General features: G+C 37.3%; 2 protein-coding genes across 3 annotated transcripts in view; both read left to right on the forward strand.

The window, feature by feature from the left end:
- The window catches only part of LRRC37A2 (leucine rich repeat containing 37 member A2), a 676337-nt gene that overhangs the window by 290002 nt on the left and 359708 nt on the right, over positions 1-26627 (forward strand). The gene's annotated exons all lie outside the window — the stretch shown is intronic.
- NSF (N-ethylmaleimide sensitive factor, vesicle fusing ATPase) overlaps positions 1-26627 on the forward strand; it is a 166796-nt gene that overhangs the window by 72125 nt on the left and 68044 nt on the right. For both annotated transcript variants that reach the window (NR_040116.2, NM_006178.4), the window contains one exon: positions 11621-11820. Coding sequence is in view for 1 of the 2 variants with exons in the window: in NM_006178.4 (NP_006169.2) it covers positions 11621-11820 (200 nt within the window). In the remaining variant the exon portion in view is untranslated. The remainder of the gene's footprint in view (positions 1-11620; positions 11821-26627) is intronic.

Below are 26627 nucleotides of genomic sequence, written 5' to 3' on the forward strand. Positions count from 1 at the left end.
GTTAAGCTGTGAAACCTAGAATTTAGTGGAGTAATGCAAATGTGGTCTCTGTTGTAAAATAGATCAGAACTATTTATTCTTTATTTAAAACACTAGTCCTTTAATGTAGGCCGAAATTGTGCTAACATTTTTGACATCGACATTCTATCTTAATGCTTATCTAGTTTACTAATGAATGAAATTCCCAGTCATCTCTCACAAAACTGTATCTCCCCCAGCTGTACTCAAGTACAGAAAACATCTATTCTTGATAACTTTTATCTTGTTAGAATAGCTCTTTTCTCTTCTATAGCTACAACTTGTCAGTGTGTCCTTATCAGCTTATGATTTAATTGAGGCTATAGAACATATACACTTAAAAAAAATAAGCTAAGAACTCTTAGAATAAAACAACATAATGTATTGTCAGTTGTAACCATGAATGATGTTTTTCAAAGTGTGTCCTCTGGCCTACATTAGAGTTACTTAGGGCGCTTGTTAAATATTCAGTTTCACTCCAGACTTAATGAATTCAGATTTCTAGGAGTGATGTCTGGAAATCTGCATTTTAACAAGCTCCATTGGACATTGGTGCATATTAAAGGTTGACAGCTGCTACTCTAAGTACTGAAGGATTGAGCCCAAAGATATGATCAGAATTAGGTGGCATTAATAAAGGAGGTGATTTCTGGGGACAGAAGAACATGAACTGTTAGAGTAGGTAGAAATTCCAGGTGTAGTAAAGAAGAAATAAATTGTCTGCTAGGGAAGATATTTGCTAGGCTGAATTAGGGGCCCAATAGAACAGCACATAAAAGGAGTTAAAAGCTAAGGGACGGAAGGAAAAAAAACAAAGAAAGAAAAAACTATAAAATTCTGAAACCAGTAAAGATACATGCTGCCATTTGGCAGCAAGGCAGACCTGCTATAGAAGAAGCATGATCTTTGTCATCAAGAATTCATGAAATACCAGGCAACACCCTATGAGGGAATGTAAAAGGGTGGGGGTGTCAGCAAAGATTAGTTTGGAGCATTGCTACACACATCTCATCTTTAGTTCTAGGCTATCTAATGAGAAAATCTATATTAAATCTAAGTTGACTGATTTGGATATAGACCAGTCGGATGGTAGACAGCTTGCACAGCTGCTTGGTGCTCAGGAAATAGGCTGTTTTCACTAGCATAGCAAAACTCAGAGTGCTCTTGGCATTTTGAAGTTGGTGGGACAACAGCAAGTCTCTACCAGACAGAATAGTGCCACGAAAATGGATGGTCAAAGTCCTGACTGCCCAGATGGTATCAGGAGTAGTGGTCTTGGTCTTAAGTATTTCCATTTCTTAAAGATTTCATAAGTGCACAGATAAACAAGTGTAGATGACAACCTATTTTAGATGTTGATTGAGAGTCTTAAGGCCAGGCGTGGTGGCTCACACCTGTAATCCCAGCACTTTGGAGGTCGAGGAGGCTGATCACTTGAGCCCAGGAGTTTGAGACCAGCCTGGGCAACATGGTGAAACCCCATCTCTACAAAAGAATACAAAATCAGCCAGGCATGGTGGCATGCACCTGTGATCCCAGCTACTCGGGAGGCTGAGGCGGCAGGATGGCTTGAGCCTGGGAAATGGAGATTGCAGTGAGCTGAGATAGTGCCACTGCCCTCCAAAGCCTGGGCAACAGAGTGAGACCCTGTCTCAAAAAAAAAAAAGGTTTTTGAAACAAAAGGCCCTCCTATATAATGAGTCAATGAAAGTTATGCTCTTAGAGTAAATAATTATATTGTACTACTGAAATGGTAAGTCAAGTAGAACTAAGAAAATACTCATGACTCTAGTTCCAATTTACAATTTTCAACAGAACCATAAGAGAAGTTGTAATTATGGAAACTTAAATGATCAAATATTAATTTGTGTCCAGGCGCAGTGGTTCACACCTGTAATCCCAGCACTTTGGGAGGCTGAAATGGGTGGATCACCTAAGGTCAGGAGTTCAAGACTAGCCTGGCCAACATGGTGAAACCCCATCTCTACTAAAAATACAAAAATTAGCTGGGCATGGTGGCACCTGTAATCCCAGCTACTCAGGAGGCTGAGGCAGGAGAATTGCTAGAACCTGGGAGACGGAGGTTGCAGTGAGCCGAGATTGTGCCACTGCACTCCAGCCTGAGCAAGACTCTGTCTGAAAAAAATATAATAATAATAATTATGATTATATTTAAAAGATCAAATATTAATTTGTGATTATATTTTCTACAAGGGCATGCACTATTTAAAATTGAGCACTCAAATCTGGTTTGCACAACTGCACAGAGAAGCTTGCAAGACTGCCGAATATGTCCTGACTTGCTACTAGTCTTTTGATAGCCTCCTTCTTTGGCAAACATGGCTAGTCTGCATTTGTACTGGAAGCCACTTGGGATTCCTCTTTAAACATCAGTCATTGTTCAAAACCCACTTCGCACTTCTTTCTCTCTTTATAGATCATGTTGCCCCCAAAATGAACTGAACACTCTTATCTTAATGCTAATTTGACAGAGACCACTTCTAATTTATTATCATCCTGCTTACTCTTATATAAAATTAGTGTTTGCTATAGTTTTTTCTCCCTTTGAATACCTCAAAGTTGACTGACAGTTTTTCCTCAACGCAGCTTGCCTCTGATAACATCCAGAAAAAATGAAGAAAATATACTGCTTTGTAAAATAGAAGAGCTTAACAAGTACAAATTTGTCACTTTTTTCGGGTGTTTCGAAAGAGTGTAAACAGTAAACATTGCTGTTTATTTCTTGTGTTTCAGAAGTAAGGCTATGTATTTTTATCGAGCTATTTACAATTTACATATAAGATGTAAGTATTTTCATGAATCATTTTCATCAGTGGGGTGGATATACCTATCATAGCGGATACGGTCCTATTCTGACTTTTAGATCAGAAATCACTTTCAGTTATTTGTAGCACACACCTTAAAGCCTATTAAAGTTCTCCCCACCAAAATTTGTATTATTATAATCACTGGATGTCAACACCTGTGGCTCAAACAGTATCCAAATTTTGTATATTGTTGGAGGATTGCTGATTTAACTGAGAGTTGTAGCTAGAAATAAGGTGAGAAAGAATATACAGGTAATACTAATCCACCTCAAACTAAGAAGCAAAGGATGGTGGATGGGCTATGTTGATCTAGCGTTGCAAAAACACTTTTGGATGAAGTGCCCAGAAATAGCCCCAGTTCCTTTCACTAGAATCAGCTCGTCCCAGGTGAATGCCGGCAGAGCAGGGTGTGTGCTCCCCAAGAAAGGGCAGTGACCGCTTTCCAATGTCTGGCAGTTAGGGGCGATGAGAGTAGTTGCAATTGGCAAGATAAAGGGGAACTTTGGAAAATAAATATACTTATGATAGAGGAGGCAGGAGAAAAGGTCAAGGGCTGTACACATGTGGAACTGATAATCATGGTAGCTTGGCTTCTATGAATGGGTACATGTTGACCCTTAAGTGAGCTTAGAAAGCTTGAGAAGTCAGTATGCGTGAACTGTTTGAGGCATAAGAAAGGCAGGATTTTAAAACTTTTTTTTTAATTTGTGCAAATTTATGGGATACATGAGAAATTTTTTACATGTATGTAATATGTAGTGATCAAGTCATGGTATTCAAGGGATCTGTCACCCCAGTACAATATATTCTTATTAAGTATAGTCATCCTACCCTGCTATCAAACATTGAATTTATTCCTCCTATCTTACTGTACGTTTGTACCTTTAGCCTACTTCTCCTTAGCCTCCCTTCATCCCCAGTCACCCTCCCCAGTCTCTGTTGTCTACTTTTCCACTCTCTACCTCCATGTGTTCAAATTTTTTACCTCCTACATATACGTGAGAACATCTGATTTTTGTATTTTTGTGTTTGGCTTATTTCATGTAAGATAATGATCTCCACTTCCATCCATGTAGCTGCAAATGACATAATTTCATTGTTTTTATGGATGAATTGTATTCCATTGTGTAGAAGCAGGCAGAATTGACTCTGATAGTAGTCTAGCTGGAAGAGAGGCTATAGCTACAAAGAATCTTGACTTACCAAAACACTAGTAACATGTCTGTGAAACTGCTGTAGTCTAACTCATTTACTACTATGTTAATTTGGAGCGTGAAGTTCATCAGTGGAATGGGTACTATAATTTGCAAAGTTCAAGTGACAATTCTGGTAGATAAAGTTTTAAGGAGCAGATGGTCACAACTGTCAGTCTCAGAAGTAATTTGGTAAGTAAAATAGTCATTTATTTGGAAGTTTTTTGGTAACCTAATTGTGATCTAATTGTCACCAGTTGGGAGTCTAATTCCATTTTCATCACTCATCTGCAGAAAGGTGAGAGAAATAAGCTATTAATTAATAGCCAATATTTACGAGCTCTTACTATCCACCATAAAGTATGCTAAGTGCTTTATGTGCATTATACTTAATTATAGTAACTTTCTGAGGTAGTTACTATTATTATTTCCAGCTAGTTAGTGGAAGAACCAGGATTTGAATCCAGGCAAACTGACTGCAGAGCCCTCACTTTTAACACTACACATAAAACTGAGTTTATTTAACAGAAAACACTGTCCTTTAACCTGAGATTGTGTCTACCTTTCAATACTAAAATGTACTTTTTATATGAAATGGTGGTGATAGACGATGTCAGGTTTGATTTTCTTTTTTTTTTTTTTTTAAGAAATCTTTACCTTGCAAAACTAAAACTAAAACAACCCAATGACAGCACTGCTCTCCAGTTTAAAGAAAACAAATGTTCTTTTGCTAGTTGTGAAATCTAAATTTGAGAACCACTGACTAGAAAAGTGGGACTCTTAGTAATTTTTAAAGTTCTTTAGAGATTTTTCACCTGATTTATTTTCTGATTTCAACCTCCTTGTTTTCATTAACCTTTTCCTTAAGTCCACCTCAGCCACTCATTCTTCGATTATACACAAGACTTTGTTTGCCATTACCAGCAACCACACCACTTTGGGGATCTCAGATGTAAGCATCTTGCTCTCGCGCTGCCTCCCATTTTTCCTTGCTTACTCCTAGCATTTCTCCTGTTACCAACTCCAGCAACTTGGACCCCACTGGAACCTCCAGTATAATTTATTCTATCAGTTCCCAATCTTTTTGTTCTCTCTCTCCTCTTTCCCCAGCTTAACCTCCATGGTCTATCACATATATCCTCTTTGTATACACCTTTAGCAGCCTTGCTCCTCATCTTCTGTTGTCAAATCCACAAGTGTTTCTCAGCTACCTGCCTACTCTGTGCCAGTATTCTCGCTGTTAAGCATGGCTTAAGAAAAACACAAAACCACAGTGTCTGATCTCACTTTAAATTTATGAACCAAATCTCAAGTGAGCCCTCAGTATTTCTTGGAACAGATATTCCTAGTATTCCTTCTGTATTTCCCTAGTCCAATCCATTTATTCTCCTATTCTCTGAGATGACTAGTTCTTCTTCTCTATTTGGCTCAACCCCCAAGCACCACCTCTTCCATCTTTACCAGCAGCTGATGACCTGGAATCTTTACTTCACGGAGGAAATAGAGGCAAACAGAAGAGAACTTCTTCATCTTCTTCATCTTCCCACCACAAGATGTATGATTGGTTGAATGAGAGAAAGACTGTGATGTCCTAGAACTTCAGTTGCTCCTATATCCAATGTAATTAGCAACTTAAATTCCAAAACCATATATAAAAATCGATTTTTGGCCATTTGAGATTATACTCTTTACTACCACTTTCCTTTCTCTTATTATAACCAAGAGTTGTTACTATGTTTGTGCCTCATCCAAATAAAAAGTAGGTATTTTTTAGAAAATGATTAACGGGAGCAATTAGTAAAACAAGCAGTAAAATACCCGGATACAGGAAATTGAGCCAGGCTTGCTGGTATGTGCTTGTCCCAGCTACTCGGGAGGCTGAGTTGGAAGGATCGCTTGAGCCCAGGAGTTCCAGGTTATAGTGAGCTGTGTCACACCACTGAACTCTGGCCTGAGTGACAGAGTGAAACCCTGTCTCTAAAAAAGTACTTGACATAGGATATTGAGAGAAGAAATGCTTTGGAACTATGTTTGATTATACCCTTAGCCCACCTTAGTTCTTACTTAAGTAAGTTATAGATGAAGGAGAAAAGATGGGAATCACTTTGAAGATTAAGGCCTCAAACTTTGTGGAAAATGGAGGAAAAAATGTTGAAAACAGTCATGTGATAGTTTTTACCTTACACTTTTGATGGGAAAATTAGATAATAGAATTGAGCTATACGTATGTTGACTGCACATTACATTAATTTAATCCTGTTATTTACCTCATATTGCTAACCTTTAAAATTAAGATTTGAAAAAAAAGAGATGGGTAAAACCAAAAAGGTCAAAATTTGTATGCCAGCTTAGATGAAATTTGTATTTATAGAACTGAATAAGAATCTACACCTTACCTAATACTGTGAATTGCTTATGTAAATACAACAAAGGATGGTCCCTCGATGACCTGAATCTCATATGCTGAGTTCACTTAGTAACAGCGTCCGTCTGCTCAGACACATTTTCCCAACTCCCCATGTGCTTTCCAAACCTTTACCATGTTTCCCAGTATCCTCTCTTCATCCCTCATTTTGTTGATGACCTAGTTCCTGCTTCACATAGTCAACAGAACCCAACAGGAATAACCTCAGCTTTCTTCCTCCTTGTCCCTTTATTTAACTGGTCTCAGAAGGAGAGGTGTCTTTACAAGCTCTCCCTCTCCATTCCTCCTCTGTTGCCAAAGTTTCTGAAAGTGTGGTCTCCATATCTGCTTATGCTACTTAGTTTTCTTCTAAGTGAAAGGTAGGGACTCAACCCCAAATGCTCTGACCCTGTTCGAAGACCCTGTGGCCTAGAGCGGCATGTATTTCCTGATTTCTAAACCTAGTGCCCTTTTTCCAGGCCTCATCCTCTATCACTGCAGCATTTATCTCTGTTGTCACATTCTTCTGCTTAAAACTTTTCACAGCTTTTCACGTACCCAGGGCAGGCATTCAAAAATATTGAAGCAGTAGTTTTGATGTCTTTTCTGAGCTTTCACCAGTATTTTTAATAGGCACTACTGCCTAAATGTCAAATGCCTTATAGCCAAAAACAAGTAATGATTTCCTGTAATCTCCAAACTGATTCCTCTTCCTCTTGCTATGTCTTGGTATCCCTGAGGTTACCATCATTTTATCCATGTACCCATGCTAGATGCCTCAAGGTCATCCTTGACTCCTCTTCCTTCTCTGGTTTCCATTTGGTTTCTAAGCTTTGATGAGTATCTCCCGCATCTTCTTTTCTTTTTCTACTATTTCCTATGACTCTTGCCTCTTTCTGTTTATTGTCTTTTGTCTGGATTATTTCAGTAATATGTTCAGGAGTTTCTAATTTGGATTCCATGGATGGACCTCAAAGGATTAAAGAACTCTCTCAAATTTGTATGCAAATTTTTTGTGCATGTGCATTTTCCTGGGGAGGTCCATTAGACTGTTCTGTGGGAAAGAGAGGAATAGAATGAGAGACAATGACAATTTAAATCAGGTCCACTGATTTCTCGTTCTATACCTGGCCTTTGTTATTTAGGTCACTAACCTAAGGCACTTATCTCTGAGGAGTGAGGTGGCATGTAAGATATTAAGAATAAAACAGCAGCATTAGTCAGTCCAGCTGGGCAGTCAGTCCAGCAGCCAGAGATCAGAGGCTCCTCAATATCAGATCCAGGCTTTAATATCCTAGAGAAGCTCAGGAGAAAGCTGGGGCATCAGCAGGAGCAGAGGGTGTCCTCCCGAGGCCCCTGGACCCATTTGTTCCTGTGCTTCCAAAGGACTTAGAGGGATATGAAAACTTAACTGGCAAGAATCCAGAGTGAGTTGGTATCCCCAGAAAAAGGTTCAGAACATTCCCCCAGCTAGCCTCCCCTCCTTTGCCTGTTTGGTCTCTCGTTCTTTCTCCACTCTGCCAACACAGTTAGCTTTTAAATACATATCTCCTGGTGTGCCTTCCGTGATTGTCACTTACACCTAAGGGTGATTAGACTAATCACCCAAAAATGTGGGGTTTTAATCACCTATGAAACAAGTTAAAAAATCATGGTCATGGTTTCAAGGCCTGCCAGTTAGGAGCCTGCCAGCCTCGTCGCCAGGCACTGCCCTCTCCTCACTTCCAGGGCTCTGGCTACAGCAGGTTACTACTGGCTGTTTCGAGAGAACAGTGTCTGTGTCCATATCCCTATGCCTTTGATCATGCTAGTCTCTCTCTTTGGGGTGGCATTTCCTCTCCATTGCCTGTGAACCTCCTACTCATTCTTCCAGGCCCACAATGGATGTTAGCTCTTCACCTGAGTCCATTCTTAATTTTCTGCCATCACTCTGGCAGAATCAGTATCTCTTGGCTAGAGTCCAAAAACATTTCATACATATCTCTGATAATGTCATATTATATTGTAGATAGCCTATTTTTATTTCTGTCTTTCCTACTAAGCCAGAAATGCCCTACAGCTAGGGACTGTCTTTTTCATGTTTGTATCCCTAACAGCTACCTTTGCATCTAGTCTAAACATGAGCTTAGTACACTTTTGTTGAATGGAATTAGTTATAAAGAGTTTTTATGACTCATTTAAAATTAGAGACCAATGCTTACTTAATAAGTCAGAATAGGCTGTAATAATAATAGTAATAATAAAGTCCCATTTCCACTGCTTATTCAAGTAACAGCTTCCTTTGTGGAAGTACATTTTGAAAGACTTCACATGTCAGTGTATATTTTTGATGTGCTCATTTGAGATCCTAAAAGAATTATAGTTCTAAAGCAGACTAGAGCTTCTATTACATTCCTGTTGAAGTTATATTAAATATATTCTATCGTTTCACATATCTGTATTATATATAATAAGTTGCATGGGTAAACATTTTATCTCTTTTAAACTTCATGGTAATAATTTGTGAATTGTTTATTTTATAATATCTGAGTAAATTTAGTTCAAAACACATTAATTTGAGCATTTTCTGTGTACAGAAGCATAGTTGCAAAGTTAAGATTCTTGTGTTTATGTTGTTTTGTTAAATTCGGAAAGTCTCAGTCTTGCAAATGTATTTTTTTTTTAAGTATTTAAATTAGCTCAGCTATGAGAATAAGCACGGTCCATAAATTAAGAGCTTCAAATAATTTTTTAAAATCCTTCATATTCTTTGAGTTTTGTAGGAAAAGAATCAACAGTTTACTTATTCAGCCTTTCCTGAAGTCCATAGTAGGTGCTGGGCATCATGCTGGGTGAATGAGATAGTACTTGCATTTGAATAGTTTACAGTCTTATAGCGAAGAAGCCATGTAAACAGAGAATTGCAATATAAACCTTGGAGGAGAGGAAGGAAGACTACTTTGAGAACCGAGATTAGGTTGAGAATGGATGAGTCTGCTGATCAATTTATAGATAAAGAAGCAGAGAGGTGAAGTCTTTTTTTTTTTTTTTTTTTGATATGTGAAATAGGAACCTAGGTTATCTCTAAGAATTCATAGCAGGGGGTAGCTCTTGAGAAGAACAGTGAAGATCTGGATAATTAATAAGGAGAATTAGAGATGAGCTAACAAAGACAAGTAAAGAGTGGCATGAGAAAGCAGTGAGCATAGAACTGAAACTGGATAGCATGAAATTCTGGAGGTATCAGTCAGTAGCACAGTGGTATAATTTTCTCCAGCTGTGCTATGGAGAAATTATACACATTGTGGCCAATGTGTAGTGAATAAAGCCATATTGTATTCAGGGACTATGGGGTGGTTATAACAGAAATTTACAAAGAATAAATAGTTAAAAGTCCTTCAAAGAAAGCATGGCTTACTAGGGAAGGCAGTATGGTTAAGAGGAAGTTGATAAACTTGGAGAAAATGTAGAAGTCAAGAAGTTGGAGATCAGAAGGGCTGGTGCTTTGTAGGAACTCAGAAAATCTTCATTTTCTTCTTTCTGGATGTCCTCTCCCTATGAATGTTTCACCACCACCACCTGCCTCAGCTACAGTTTATACATATGAATAGTTTCAAATCATGATGGTAACAGTTGGCTCAGAGGGCAAGATTAGGAGCCAGACTTCAACGTGCTGCTAATCCAGCGTGTCCCTGTAACTTAGATGCTGGTAGTGCTTGGTGGTATTGGCCTCTAGGAGAAGCTCAAGGCTTCTCCTGTTATCTCCCTACCACTCATACTTGGAGGGTGAGTCAAAGGCCAAAAAGCATTTTATTGGGCAGTGGTTCTTAGGGAAGGGATTTACTCTGTGATGCAGAGGGTTAAGACTGTAAGCCATCAAGTGTTTCCCCTCCCTCTCCATGTTCAACCAAAGGCACAGTTCTTATTACTTTCAAGGATTTAAAAAGGAGTCTTTTCTCAGCATAAAGGAGGAAGTGAAGACCAATTTTGACAGCCCAAAGGGTCTTCCTCCTCAGAATCTAAAATTTCTAATAGAGTTGTTTGCATCTTGTGATTTTACTTGAGTCATCAAATGTATTGTACTTTTTTTCTTAAAGATATACTTCTTAATGCTTTCATTTCAGATAAGGACAAACCATTTTCCATGGCGACACACTATTTATATTGCATTTTCAGAAATTTCCCTTTTTACCCATACTTCGGAGTGTGACACTGAAACCTGATAATCTATTATTTCACAGAGTGCTTTTTTGGGTGTAATATAAAGATATTATATAATTTTAATAACCTTTGAGGTACAAGTGGTTTTTGGTTACATGGATGAATTATATAGTAGTGAAGTCTGAGATTTTAGTGCAGGACCCATTGTCCAAGTAGTGTAAACTGTACCCAATATTAGTTTTTTATTCCTCACTCCCCTCTCACTTTCCCCACTTCTTAATTTTCTGCCATCACAATGTGTTGCCCAGGCTGGTTTCATGCCCTCACTTTCCCCACTTCTGAGTTTCCAAAGTCTATTACTCTGTACACCTTTGTGTACCCATAACTTACCTCCCTCTTGTAAGTGAAAACATATGGTATTTGATTTTCCATTCTTGAGTTACTTCACTTAGAAAAATGGCCTCCAGCTCCATCCATGTTGTAGCAAAAGATGTGACTTCGTTCTTTGTTATGGCTGAATAGTATTCCATGGGGGTGTGTGTGTGTGTGTGTGTGTGTGTGTGTGTGTGTGTGTGTGTATACACATATATGATATATAATAATTATATATAATTTATCGTTATATGTAAAACAAAGCAAATTTTTTATTTTTATAGAGACAGGGTCACAAAGTATTGCCCAGGCTGGTTTCATGCTCCTGGGCTCAAGTGAGCCACCACACCCAGCCAAAAATAAGTAATATTTCCCAGTTAGACATTTTCAGAGTAAAAAGTATTTGTTCAAAATCATAGCATGAATGGACTCTTCCAGAGACCTTTAACTGGCAGCATTTCCCCCTCAAACTTTAGTACAGTTATAGGAATTGTTTCTGGATTTTTGGCTGTATATTCTTGTTCATGGCTCATGGACATTAACATATGTGAATGGCATCACTGTGTTTTTCCTAAAGTGCATACGAAGAAGAAAGAACACTTTCCTTTAGAGTCTTACTTAGATTCTAGTTAGCTGATATAAGACTGTTTTCTTTTCCTTTTCAGGTTGTAAACATGTTAAAGGCATCCTGTTATATGGACCCCCAGGTTGTGGTAAGACTCTCTTGGCTCGACAGATTGGCAAGATGTTGAATGCAAGAGAGCCCAAAGTGGTCAATGGGCCAGAAATCCTTAACAAATATGTGGGAGAATCAGAGGCTAACATTCGCAAACTTTTTGCTGATGCTGAAGAGGAGCAAAGGAGGGTAATGTGAACATAAGTGTGATTTAGTAAAAGTTTATCACTCGCTATACGATGAATGAGACCCAGAGTTATGGAGACAAACTTGTTGCTTTGATTTATATTTTGAAGCAACTTACAGGTAAATTTACCTAGTACCTAGGTTATATATGGCACTGCACCAGGGACTGTGGAAGATTTACGTGATGAGCAGATGTTGTTGCCCACATATTCCTATAAACAAAGGTAGGTGATTGTGTAAGCCAGAGGTTTTGCAAAAATAGGTCATGAATATATTTTCAGGTGACACTTTTATTCCATATTGCTTCCAGAGACTTGTGCTCATTTATCCTTTGGAAGAAAAGGGGAAATTAAATCCATAAATAGACTTATGAAATCGTATTATGTAAGGTTCATATGCAAAAAGCTATCTTACTTAACACTGAGTCTTGCTCAGTTATAGAGTGACAGGATTGAGTTGTCAGAGCTCAAAGGAAAGCTTGATTTGCGTCTCAGAAATGAAATTATTTAAAAATCAAGCTAGAATTTACTAATTCTGATAGTTTTACATGTCAACTTGACTAGGACATAAAGTGCCTAAATATTTGGTAAAACATTTCGGTTGTGTCTGTGAGGATGTTTCTGGATGAAATTAGCGTTTGAGTTGATAGACTGAATAAAGCAGATTGCCCTCCCTAATGTGGGCAGGCCCCATTCAATCAGTTTAAGGCCTGAACAGAACAAAAAGGCTTACTTTCCTGCAAGTAAGAGGGAATTTCGACTTGCCTGGTTACCCTGAGTTGGGACATTGGTTTGGATGCACACCGAAACATCAGCTCTTCCTGGCTTGGAGGCCTTTGGGCTGGAACTAAATAATGCGTATTAGCTCTCCTGGGTCACCAGGTTGCTGACAGCAGATCTTGGGACTTGTCAGCCTCTGAAATTGTAGATTTATCCCAAGGAATTGGCTAAAACGATTATGGAGGCTGACATATATATGTGGGTGTATATGCATACATACATATTCATAGAGATTTATCATAAGGAAAACACACACACACACACACACACACACGAACATTCTATTGGTTCTGTTTGTCTGTTCTGATTAATTATCCTAATACTAACATATTTTTTTCATTGACAGTTTAAGAACAATGCCATGAGATTTCTGGTTCTAGCAATACAGTAGACTAGGTAACCAGAAAACCTTCCTTCTATAAACACCTTCAAATGCTAGGTATACACTGTACCCCTTAAATATGCACAGTTATGTGCCAATTAAACACAAAATAAAACTTTTAAAAGTTCTGGGTAAAACATAACTGAAATCATTTTAAATGCATAATTGAGCTCTTCAGAAAGAAAACTGGATCTCCAGGAAATTAGAGTCGTAAGATACGGGCTGCAGCTTTTGGTTTCATAATGTATGGGTTTGGGTTTTAGTACCCACTAGGGAACAGAACATGAGTCCTTGAATCCATTTACAGTGTGGACTAGGAACTGGTACCTTCAAAGGGGTTGTGTCTATGAAAAGAGTGGACTAGAAAATATCTGCTGCCACCACAGGGAAATTAACAAAAAATATTTAACTGCCTGGGTTCTGGAATGGAAGCTGGGAAATCTCCTATGGGAATTCTTCTTCTTTTTTTTTTTTTTTTGAGATGGAGTTTTGCTCTTGTTGCCCAGGCTGGAGTGCAATGGCGTGATCTCGGCTCACCACAACCTCCGCCTCCCAGGTTCAAGCAATTCTCCTGCCTCAGCCTCCCCAGTAGCTGGGATTACAGGCATGCACCACCACGCCCAGCTAATTTTGTATTTTTACTAGAGATGGAGTTTCTCCATGTTGGTCAGGCTGGTCTCGAGCTCCCAGCCTCAGGTGATCTGCCCGCCTTGGCCTCCCAAAGTGCTGAGATTATAGGCGTGACCCACCATGCCCGGCCTCCCATGGGAATTGTAAACCATGGATCCTTGTTCATGCTGGTTTAGAATTTGAATGAATGTATGCTACCTATGTGGCTTGAAACCCGAAGCTGAGAAATTAGTTAAAAAAATTATTCAGGTGCAGTGGCTCATGCCTGTAGTCTCAGCTACTTGGAAGGCTGAGATGGAAGGGTCACTAGAACCCAGGAGTTCTAGGCTGCAGTGAGCTCTCATTGTGCCATTGCACTCCAACCTGGGTGACAGTGCAAGACCCTATGTTAAGGAAGAAAAAAATTAGTCCTGGGCTAGTGATAGCATAAGTTGTCAGATATAAGCAAACCCCAGGGGGTGCTCCAACAACCTAGGCTGAAAGGAATAGAAAAAGTAGTCATGAAAATTTAAAACTCAGCAACCAAGTTTAAGATAAGACAACAAATTTCAGCTGAAGAGAGAAGTGGTAAACAGAAGAATAAACCTAAAGAAATCACCCAGAATGTAGCACAGAGAGATAAAGGGATGGAGAAGATGAAAGTTGAGATGAGAGAGTTAAAACAAGAAGTCCAGATAGAATAGTGTAGAGGCATTATTCAAAAAGAGAATGACTAAGAATATTCTAGAATTAATAAAGACATAAGTACTCAGATTCAGGTAGCACCATGAGCCTATATGGGATAAATGAAAATTAACTTATTTCTAGACTTGTTATAGGAGAATGCCAAAGAAAAAAAATCTTAGTAACAAAAGAAAGACATGGAGATGACTTACAAAGGGGTATCCATTATGTTGATAGCAAACTTTTCCATGACAGAAAGAGAGAACAAAAAACAGTAGAATAATATCTTCAGAGAGCTAAGTGAAAATAACTGTCAACTTAAAAGTTAATACCCAGCTTAATTCTCATTCAGGAATGAGGGTGAAATAAAGACTTTTTTTCTTCAGGCAAAGGATAATAGAATTAACTAGTTGCAGAAGCTTGTTGGAAGATTATGAAGCAAGATGTACTGAGACTGAAGGAAGTTGAACCCAGAAGGAAACAGTAGAGCCAAGAAACAATGATGAGCAATGAAATTGGTGAAAATATAGATAAAGTCTGGGAGTTCTACTTCTAGTAGTGGCAAATTAGGTCATTTGAGTCATGTGTTCCACTGAAGACTACCAGAAAAGCTCAACACAATATTTAAACATGTTTTGCTTGAAGGTATCAAAGAAGAAAAATGGAGGCCTAGAACAAAGGTCCTCCTGGTATACTGGGTCACTGTTCCTCTCGAGATATTAGCCAGTTCTGCAGGAAGCTGCTAAAACCTAAGCAGCCCTTTTGACAGGCTAGTGGGAGTAATGGGGGCAGAGATTAGTGCCCATGGCCCCTAAGGAGGGGACACCTGATGAACATAACTCATTTTGAGTCAAGACCCTGAAGGGCTACACCATAGGAGCAAGGGTTAACCAGGAGTAGACATACTCTCACTGAGGCTGCAGATCAGCTTTGAATCATGTCAGTCCCTAAAATTAGATTGAGGGTTCCTAAATTGCTAGTGCCCCTAGGCATCTGGCAGAATTGTAAATCCTTCCTGGAAGAAAGTGGTATCATGTAAGGTCACAAATTGTTTCTAGTTTGCAAATGCAATGTCTGGCTTATAATCAAAAGCAACTGGAAACAGATACACAAACAACATCAAGAAAAAGAAAAGATGGTTCAAACAGCCTCTAGATATTGGAATTCTCAGATACAGACTTTTGAAATAATTATACTTACCACATTCAAGGGGATAAAAGACAAGACAGATTTTTGGCAGAGAACTGGAAACTAAAAATAAACAAATATAAATTCTAGAACTGAGAAAATCAGTAAGTAAAATTAACTCAAGTGAATGAGTTTAAATAGCAGGTTAGACACATCTGAAGAGAGAATTAGTGTACTGAAAGATATAAGATGAAAATAACCAGAGACAAAGAATGAAAGGAATTAAGAGAGAGTAAGAGAGAGAGAGAGAGAGAGAGAATACCGTTTAAAGGTCTGGTGCGTGTATTTAAAGTTCCAGAAAGGCAAGAGAAAGAGGATGAATCAAAATCAGGATTTGAAGAGAAAATGGTTTAGAACTTTCTAAAACTGATGGAAAACATTAGTCCATAAATTGCAGAAATGATATGAACCCTGAGCAGGAGAAATACCAAAGAACTCTACATATATAGGCATTATTGTTAAATTGCTGAAAACCAAAAATGAGAAAAATCTTAAAAGGAGCTAGAGAGCAAAGGAAAATTACCTTCAAATAAGCAACAACTAGCTAGTAGCTGTCTTCTCAATAGAAATGATGGAAACAAAAAGTCAATCAAAGGCCATTTTTAAAGAGCTGAAAGAAAATAACTGTCAACTTAGAATTTTATATCCAGTAAATGGATGAATGATCATAGAAATATATAATGGAATACAAGGCAGTAATGAAAATAAATAGCCTACAGCTATATACAGTTGTGAATCTCACAAATAAATTATTGAGCAAAAGAAACCAGATTTCAAAAAACACATACTGTGTGATTCCATTTATAGAGAGCTTACCTAAAGTATAGTGTTTAACAACACATGCTTGGGTGGTAAAACTATAAAGGAAAATGAATTATTACCATAAAAATCAGATTGTGGTTACCCATGGGGAAAGGTCAGGGAGGAGTGCTTGGGAGGGGTTGTGAGGAGGTGCTCCCAGGATGCTAGCAGTATTCTGTTTCTTATGATTACGTAGGCGTTCATTTTGTGACAGTTCATTGAGGCATATATTCACATTTTGTAACTTTTCTCTATGTGTGATGTATTTTGCAATTAAAAGTTTTAAAAATAAATTTTAATAGCATTCACTGAGAAAAACAATAATGATATGAATATTTTTAAAGGATAGAACTAAAATATGGAAAAAAACGTTTGGGAAGTAGATTAAATTCATGTAAGCTCCTTATATTATTGGGGAAGATGGTAGGGAGTTTGAGACCAGCCTGGTCAACATGGTGTAACCCCATCTCTACTAAAAAAATACAAAAATTAGTTGGGCTTGGTGGCGCACAGCTGTAATCCCAGCTACTCAGGAGGCTGAGGCAGGAGAATTGCTTGAACCCGGGAGGCGGAGATTGCAGTGAGCCAAGATCGTGCCACTGGATTCCAGCCTGGGTAACAAAAGTGAAACTCCATGTCAAAAAAAAAAAAAAGAAGCTAATAATGTTAGTTAACATTAAGTCAAATGTGCATGTGAAAGTTGTACATTGTGCCCAAACTTTTCCAAAGCATAGGGAGGAGCTGGGAAAGAAACAGTGGAAATTCAAATACTTTAGAAGGCAAGAAAGAAATAACAAGACTCAAAGACAATGTGATGATAATAAAAAGGTAATTTTAAAAACAATTTCATTTATAGCAGAAATCAGAATGTAAAGTGCCTAGGATTCGATCTAGCAGGAAATGTGCAAGACCTTTAAGGAGAAAATTCTAAACATTTTTGAAAATCTTTTTTTAAGCAGCTAATAAATGGTAAGATATAACATGTTCATGTATGGGAGAACTGACAATGTCATAAAAATGAGTTCTGCCCATCTTGGTCTGTAAGTTGAGTGTATTTCCAGTGAAGCCTAATAGGAATTTTTTAACATTTGACAACTTGATTCTAATTTTTTTTGAGGCTTGAAGAGTTATGAGAATTTTGAAGAATAATGAAGATTTACTTTTATCACATATCAAGACTTACTAGAAAGCAATAGTAATTGAAACAATGTTATATATTCATGCAAAAACAGACCAAGGAAACAATAGAACACAGGAAGGAAGAGCCTGCTCTATGACAAGTGATGATACAGATCAGAGGGGAGTAATAGGCTGGCTGTGCCTTAAACGGAGCTGAGATAATTGACTACCTATTTGGAAAAAGATAAAATGCAATTCCTACCTCACAGCATACAAAATTGCAAGTGGATTTACAAAAAAACAAAAACATAAAAGCCTACTAAAATTTATAGGAGGAAAACTTATTTAGAAGAAAAATAGGCAAAAATGTTTTAAGATTTGAGGCTAGGGAAGAATTGATACAGAAAGTAAATCCATTGGAAGTGTTAATTTGGCTACATTAATATAAAGAAAATTCTGTATGACAAATTACACTGAATACAAATGTCTCAAACTGGGAGAAGATATTTGCAGTGTATATAATCTACAAAGAATTGGCATCCTCTATAATAAATTCTCTATAAAAAGTCTTGTATAATAAGAAAAATATAAATACCACAATTTAAAAAAACTGTCGAAGGATTTAACACGTAGTTCTCAGAGAAAGAACACAATTGAAGAAAAGCAAATGAAAAGATATTCAGGAAAATGTATAATAAAAGAGGGATTATTTCTTAAACAACCTGGCAAAATTTACAACAGCTGGTAAAACCAAGAGTTTGTGGGGTTATGGAGAAACAAGGTCTCATATACATTGCTAGTTGGAGTATAAACTAGAAGAATATACCAAGTGGGTAGTATCTTGCAAATAAATTTGACATCTTACAAAAATGAAAATGCACAAACCCCATGAGTTCTACTTCAAGACCACTACCTATGATAAACAACATGACATGTACCAGGATGTTGATTGTCATGCTATTTGTAATAGAGGAAAAAGAAACATCATTACTCTTCCTTAGTAGGAAATGGAATAGCATACAGATATTAAAATGAATATGCTGAGCACAGTGGCCCACGCCTGTAATCCCAGCACTTCAGGATGCCAAGGCAGAGGATCATTTGAGCCCAGGAGTTGAAGACCATCATGGGCAACATAGTGAGACCCCACCTCTACAAAAATTAAAAATTAGCCAGGCATGGTGGCACATTCCTGTGGTCCCAGCCACTTAGGAGGCTGAGGTGGGATGGTCACTTGTGCCGGGGAGGTCAAGGCTGCAGTGAGCTGTGATAGTGCCACTGCACTCCCGCTTGGGCAACAGAATGAGACCCTGTCTCAAAAAAATAAAATGAATAATAGATTTACATAGATCGACATGAATAACACTCAGAAATATAACATCTCGTCTTCAAAAAAAAAACCTAGTAAGCTGTACTGAATTAATCTATCCTACCATTTAAAATTTTTGTTGAGGGTAAAATAATATTAAATATTCCCTTTATAGCAATCCTCTTAGTGCTTTAAGTCTGCTTGTTGGGTCCTTAATTGTTTCAATTTTATACAAGGTCGTTTCCTTTCCTGCTTTCCAGCATTTCATTAAGTTCTTGTTCAGGTCTCCAGCTAGATCAGTCTCATTGGTTCTAGCAGGTGTGGGTCTTGGTGGGTTGGTGCAAGTCCATTCACTATTTCAACTCTTCAGAAAGTCCCGGAACCAGTCAGTTTTGCAGTTCATTCCTAATACTAAGATTGTTTCTGCTTCACTTATCTTTTTAACTTACCTCAGTGTACCAAGAAAAACAGTCATCACCATATACTATCTAGGTTGAATAAACTCCGCTTAAAAATTATTTTAGATTATTTTCCAAATAATTTACAAAATACAAGAATAAAGAGATAAAAAACTATTAAAAATTAAATAAGAACTTAAATATATAAATAAAATTTTTATGCCATGTTTCCCTGGTCTTGAGGTGTTTTGGATTTTGGTTTTTGGAATATTTGCATATACATTAAGATATCTTGGCGTTGGGACTCTGGTCTAAACATGAAATCCATTTATGTTTTGTATATACCTTGTACACACAGCCTGAAGGTAATTCTGTACAATATTTTAAATAATTTTGTTACTGAAACAAAGTCTGTGTACATTGAACCATCAGAAAGCTAAGGCATCACTATCTCAGCCACTAGATGTGGATGGTCTGTGGTTGGTTGGCATCACCATTGTTTCTGAGTGTAAATTTATATGCCTGATAAATAATCGTTTTCATACATGTATTGAGACACAAGTACTTAACAGTAAAAAATATGACACACCATTAATACAGTGAAAAAATAGTGAGTTTAGGGTAACTAAGCAGCACAATGGCATCACCAGAATACCTGGATAAGCTGTTAAACAACAGCAACACCAAACAGCAACAGTTTCAGTCACCACCTACGATGTTGTGGGGGGCTTTTGTTTTGGTTTGGTTTTTTGAGATGGGGTCTCACTCCATCGCCTAGGCTGGCATGCAGTGGCACCATCATGGCTCACCGCAGCCTCAAACTCCTGGGCTCAAGCCGTCCTCCTACCTCAGCCTCCCGAGTAGCTGGGACTACAGGTGTGCACCACCATACCTGGCTAATTTTAAAAATCTTTTTGTAGAGACAAGGTCTCCCTAGGTTGCCCAGGCTGGTCTCAAACTCCTGGGCTCAAGCGATCCTCCTGCCTGAGCCTCCCAAAGTGCTGAAATGACAGGTGTGAGCTACCATGCCCAGCTGATGTTGTGTTTTGATTAAAAGATTATCATACAGTAACCCCCTGTGTGTGGTGCACCTTTCAGATTTTGGAACATTTTGGATTTTGAATTTTTGGATTAGGGATACTCAACCTGTATACCCCAAATGGGCAGGAGCCTCTGAATGCAGTAACTGTTCATCAGCTGTCCTGCATGAACTTACAAATACTGATTCTAAGTTTCAAATACATCTTTGTTGGCTTCTAAATTATTATTACTTCTGGTTCTTCTTGCACTTACAGCATCAAAACATAATGCTTTAAGAATTTTTTTGAGATCTTTGGCTCCTAATTTTGTTGAAGAGAGGATGACCATTATATGTTCCACAGTTGCAAAACATTTTTATTTTTAGATTTGTAGATACCTTTCAGAATGATCAATTCTGTTTTTTATGGTCAATCCAATTTTTTAATGTCTACTTCATCTATTTCTTCTGGCTATCTCTCTGTAATACCTGCCTTCAGCATCTGTCTACTTTTAAACTATATCAAGAAAATTTGGTGCACAAATGAAATAAAAGATGAAAGAATACTGTCATGTGTCCTTTTAGCAAAATGGGATGGCCTCATTTCTTGTCACAAGATATTCCACAAAGAAGACTTTCTATTGAATAAGTAACTGAATGAAAATGCTTTGTCCTTAGATTAAAAGTATATTATTCACTCATTGATTCTTGAGTTTGAGAAAATGTATGTAGGGCATCATCATCTGAAGACACATAGACTGAGATTTTACTTATAATCATCAATTTCAGCATCTTTATTAGAGTCCTAAGTGCTCCTATCTTATTCTTTGTGTTCAACTTCTGACTCATCTAATAATTCTAAAACAGTTTCCTCAGATTTTCTTCGTCATTCTGGCTAGAGAACTTACAAATGTTAATGCTTAATCGTATTCAATAAAATGTAGAATGAGGTCACAAAAGATGTTAGCTCCAGACTTCTTTTATGCCTTCTTGAAAGATAACACATATCTTGCACAACACAGTAAGAAAACTGAAGAGTGATGTCATAGTGATACTTGTTTCACTGTTTCTAAGTAATTTAGTCATTTTTTATTATACTTTAAGTTCTGGGATACATGTGCAGAACTTGCAGGTTTGTTACATAGGTATACACATGCCATGGTGACTGGCTGCACCCATCAACCCGTCATCTACATTAGGTATTTCTCCTAATGCTATCCCTCCCCTAGCCCCCCCACCCACTGACAGGCCCCAGTGTATGATGTTCCCCTCCCTGTGACCATGTGTTCTCATTGTTCATTTCCCACTTATGAGTGAGAACATGTGGTGTTTGGTTTTCTGGTCCTGTGTTGGTTTGCTGAGAATGATGGTTTCCAGCTTCATCCATGTCCCTGCCAAGGACATGAACTCATCTGTTTTTATGGCTGCATGGTATTCCATGTGCCACGTTTTCTTTATCTAGTCTATCGTTGATGGGCATTTGGGTTGGTTCCAAGTCTTTGCTATTGTGAACAGTGCCTCAATAAACATGTGTGCATGTGTCTTTATAGTCGAATGATTGTAATGGGATTGCTGGGTCAAATGGTATTTCTGGTTCTGGATCCTTCAGGAATCACCACACTGTTGAAACAGCATGGTACTGTTACCAAAACAGATACATAGACCAAAGGAACAGAACAGAGGCCTCAGAAATAATGCCACACATCTACAACCATCTGATCTTTGACAAACCTGACAAAAACAAGCAATGGGGAAAGGATTCCCTATTTAATAAATGGTGTTGGGAAAACTGGCTAGCCATATGCAGAAAATTATACAAAAATTAACTCAAGATGGTTTAAAGATTTAAATGTAAGACCTAAAACCGTAAAAATCCTAAAAAAAACCGTAGGCAATACCTTTCAGGACATAGGCATGGGCAAAGACTTCATTCTTCTATTTTCTTATTTTAATCCTTTTTAAGCATAGTTGAGAATAATTGATGAGTAATGATGTAATTTCTAGTGTGATGAAATAGCATAATGTGTCTTAGATTCATAAAAAGATCTAGTAGATCCAAATGGCAATTGTAAGATAGAATTTTATTCTATTTTTTTAAATATTGGGTTTTTTGTTTTGTTTGTTTGCTCTTTGGAAAAAGGAAAAAAGTCATGAGATATCAATTTTTATAAATAGTACTACTTAAAACAGAAACTCAGAAACTGAGATTGGGTCTAACGGACCCTAATGAGATACTGAGGATTAAACACTAGGCAGAAGTGAGTTAAAATGCCATATGGAGAAGCATTTTATAACATCTCAGTTGTGATAGTTAACCACATGGCTGCATAGGTAACTTTGGTGCTGTTTTTAAAGTTGCAAGCAATTTAAATATTAAACTACTGATGATAAAATTGAGTTAGCAAAGAATTTCCAGTTCGATATTAATTATAGCCAGCCTTTTCAGTTATACCTTTCTCACATCCAGAAATGGCTTGATGTACTCAGCTAATGACCTCATGCAGGATATATATGTGTGTTACATAATAAAGAAAAACATCACTTCTGTAATTTTGGACAGTCCACACTGACGGAGATGAACACTTGCATATAGGTCAAACTAGTTAAATATAGAACAGCCGCTTTTGAAAGCTGTTGCCAGGGCTCAACAGCGTCAGCTCTGTTTCTATGGAGAAAGACTTTGCAGATGTTAAAAACAGAGCTAGAAGCCAATGAATGGAAGAGGATTGTGCTGTGGAAATTTAATTTTTTTGATAAAGGGTTTATTGATGAATCAGCTATATTAGTCTGTGAACGTTAATCTTGACATCTTCTTTACCCAATTCCCAATTTCTTGGAATAAGATCTTGCTTTTATTTAAGTAACACACAATGTAAAATTTGATGTTATTGTACTGACTAGGTGGGGTAAGGGACCTGATGACAGGTAACAAGATTAGTAAGGTTCTGAAAAGGTCAGAATTGTACTGAATTATGTTTAGAACAGATTGCCTCCGTGATCATTTAATCAAACAGTGTTCGTATTGTCTTTGTCCTTGTCCACATACGTGATTTTTGAGGTTGGGCTGAGAAGGAAATCATGATTCCATCAACAACATAAGGCACATTGACAGTAAAACTCATATATTATAGCAGCTTTTTGTTTCATGCTGTATAGGGCAGACAACCTTGAAGAAAAAAAAAACTTTAAAAAATAATGTAAAATTTCACAGTTTTTCAGTCACAAACAGAAGTATCCTTGTTGTCACTGAAGATGACAAGAATTAATATCCTGCTGTATAGAAGTACTTTGGCAAAGTTAAGGTTGTAGTTCCAATTCCTCATTTCCAATTTTTTCTCCAGATGGAAAGATGAACAGTTTTTGGTATTGAATTTTTTTTTAGGAAGCAAGTTATTTATCATTAGATATCTATTCAGTAAATGCAATGATACAGAAAAATGAAGTTTTTTTCCCTCAGATTTGAAATTAGGTTTTAAAATATGGAGGGAGAACAATTTGTAAGTAATGTTCAGGAACAAAAATAAAACCTAATGAAACTTTAGAAACTTTGATGGACATCTGTCATCCTACATACAATTGCATTAAAGAATAGAATTTATTATTATTTTATCTGGTTTATTATGCTGTAAAATGAATTTTTCTCTTTTTGTATGTAGTTTTATGAAATTTCATACATGTATAGATTCATGGAACCACTGTAAAAATCAGGATGTAGAACATTTGCATCACCCCCAAAAACTCCTTCATGCAGTCCCTTACTGGTCACCCTTTCTTTTTAGTAACCCTGGTAACTACCAATGTGTTCTCCATCCCTGTAGTTTTATCTTTTCAAGAATGTCATATAAATGGCGTCATACACTATGTAACCTTTGGGGACTGGCTGTCTTCAGCATAATGCCTTTGAGATTCATCCAAGTTGTTGCATGTGTCAAACATCCCTTTTTATTGTTGAATAGTATTTAATTGTGTGGGTGTACTATCATTTGTTTATCTCTTGACCCACTGAAGGCCAATTGGGTTGTTTTCTAGTTTGGGGCAATTATGAGCAGAGCTGCTATAAACCAAGTAGTGGAATTTTTAGGTCATATAGCATTTTATCTATTTTTTATTTAAAAATATATATTCAGGGTTTGTTTTTGACCCAGTTGAATTTCCTTCAGGTCATTTTTGGAACTCTTTCTTCCTATGTCTGATGTAACATTTCATCTTTCATCTTTGTCATTTTTTTATTCCCCCTTTTCTTCAGATTACTATAGGTATATTCTGGTATTGTAGCCCAGAATCTGTCCTGCTTTTATATTCCTCCAGCTTAATTATATGATCCATCTTCTTACGGTATCTACGGCTTGCTACAAGACTATTCTTTACTATTTGCAGAAGACGTTCAGATGTATCTTGCTATCCTTTTTTATTCAGTTGTGTATATCTTGTTCTCTATTTGGAGGCCTTTCCAAATAGATGTCTTGTTAACTCTTTAATCTTATCATGCTAGAAACAAACAAACAAACAAAAAAAATTCCCTTGTATCTTTTCCCTTCTGCAGCTTCCTTATCATACTACAGGGTAATTTCTTTTCTTCACTGTCAGTCTTCCACCCTACATGCAAGCAATAATCAAATCTAGCATTTGCTGTTTGGTCATCACCACTCCTGTCACCAAAATTCTCATTCTGTTTAGATTCTGCTTGCCTCATTTATGTACCATTATTTGTTTCTCACTGACCTTCCAAGTGCATACTCCTTTTCATCCTAAAGCCAAGAATAAAATCATTTTATATAAAGAGCATTCTACTTTGCAGTTCATTTACTGATGTCCTCTGTTTCAGTAGGAAGGCCTAATTCTAGATTTCAGTCTGTCATGATAGTACTATAACTTCTGCTTCTCACATTAGGTAAATTTTATTATCCCTTTTATAGGACCTTGACTGCCTCTGGGCCTTCTGTTCAGTTGAACCCACATGCTTCTAACTTCTTAGCTATTAGACCCTCTCTTTCCCCTTTTATATGTCTTTGTTTTGGTACAGCTTCTCATACCCAAAAGCAGGTATACCTGTTAGTAAGGAGGATACAAGTTGTATTTGTAGGTGGTATGATTGTCTACCTAGGAAATTCAAAAGAGTCAGATTTTTTTAAAAACTTAGATATTATAAATAAGAGTAAAGTAGCCATATATAAAATAAATACATAAAAATATATTTCCTTCATACTTCTATACTGTTTCTGAAATATAATAGAAAAATCCCATCACAATTGCCACCAAAAAACATAGCTAGGAATCTTTATGAAGGAATGAAGGAATTTAAACAACAAAAACTATAAAACTTTATTGGGAAGCTGGGCCCAATGGCTCACGCCTGTAATCCTAGCACTTTGGGAAGCCAAGGTGGGAGGATCACTTAAGTCTAGGAGTTCAAGACCAGCCTGGGCAACATAGTGAGACCTTATCTCTAAAAATAAAAATAAAAATAAATTTTAAAACTTTACTGAGAGACGTAAAAGTGTTGAATAATTGGAGAGGCATTATTCTTCTAAAAAACCAAATATGCTATACAGATTTTAGTATTTCCTAAACTTAGATATTTAACCTAATTTCAGTCAGAGCTTGGGTTTTTGTCTGTTCTTTATTTTTTTATTTTTAATTGGTGGAGGTTATTCCCCCTCATAAGAATGATTCTGATGTTCATTTGGAAATACACATGGTTGGAAATAGCCAAGATAGTTATGAAAAAGAAGAATGTATAGAGGAGAAGAGCTTCTTCAATGTACTACTGTAAAGTTATGGAGATAAAAACATGAATGAATCCATTGAGCAGAGTAGACAGGCTGGTAATAACCTAGCATACATCAAAGTCCAAACCTTGGTATGATGGCAGCTCAGTCAACGAAGAAAGGAGGGATAATTTAGGGAACAATGCTGGGTCGGTTATTTGAAGAAGAATTAGTTGGCTTCTCACTTTACTTGTACCATACACAAAAATAAAACACCAGATAAAGAATTATATGTAAAGCAAAAATTTAAGAAAAGAAAATATGTGACCATCAGTGTCTGTAATGGGGAACAATTTTAAGGATAAAACTAATGAAAATATCATAAAAATAAAAATTGTGCTGGCTGTTTAGTAGAAACAGAAAACGCCTTCCACTTACCGAAAATATACCATAAATAGGCTGGGCACAGTGGCTCTCGCCTGTAATCTCAGCACTTTGGGAGGCCGAGGTGGGCAAATACCTGAGGTCTGGAGTTTGAGACCAGCCTGGCCAACGTGGTGAAACCCTGTCTCTACTAAAAATACAAAATTAGCCAGACTTGATGGTGCACGTCTGTAATCCCAGATGTGAGAGGCTGAGGCACGAGAATCGCTTGAACCTGGGAGGCGGAGGTTGCATGAGCAGAGATCATACCACTGCACTCCAGCCTGAACGACAGAGCGAAAGTCCATCTCAAAAAAATATATATACTTATATATATGCACACATGCCATAAAGAAAAGACAACTGGCAAACTAGAATAAAGTAGTTACAAG

This window comes from Homo sapiens, chromosome 17 (assembly GCF_000001405.40).
Source record: "Homo sapiens chromosome 17, GRCh38.p14 Primary Assembly".
Taxonomy (NCBI): Eukaryota; Metazoa; Chordata; class Mammalia; order Primates; family Hominidae; genus Homo; species Homo sapiens.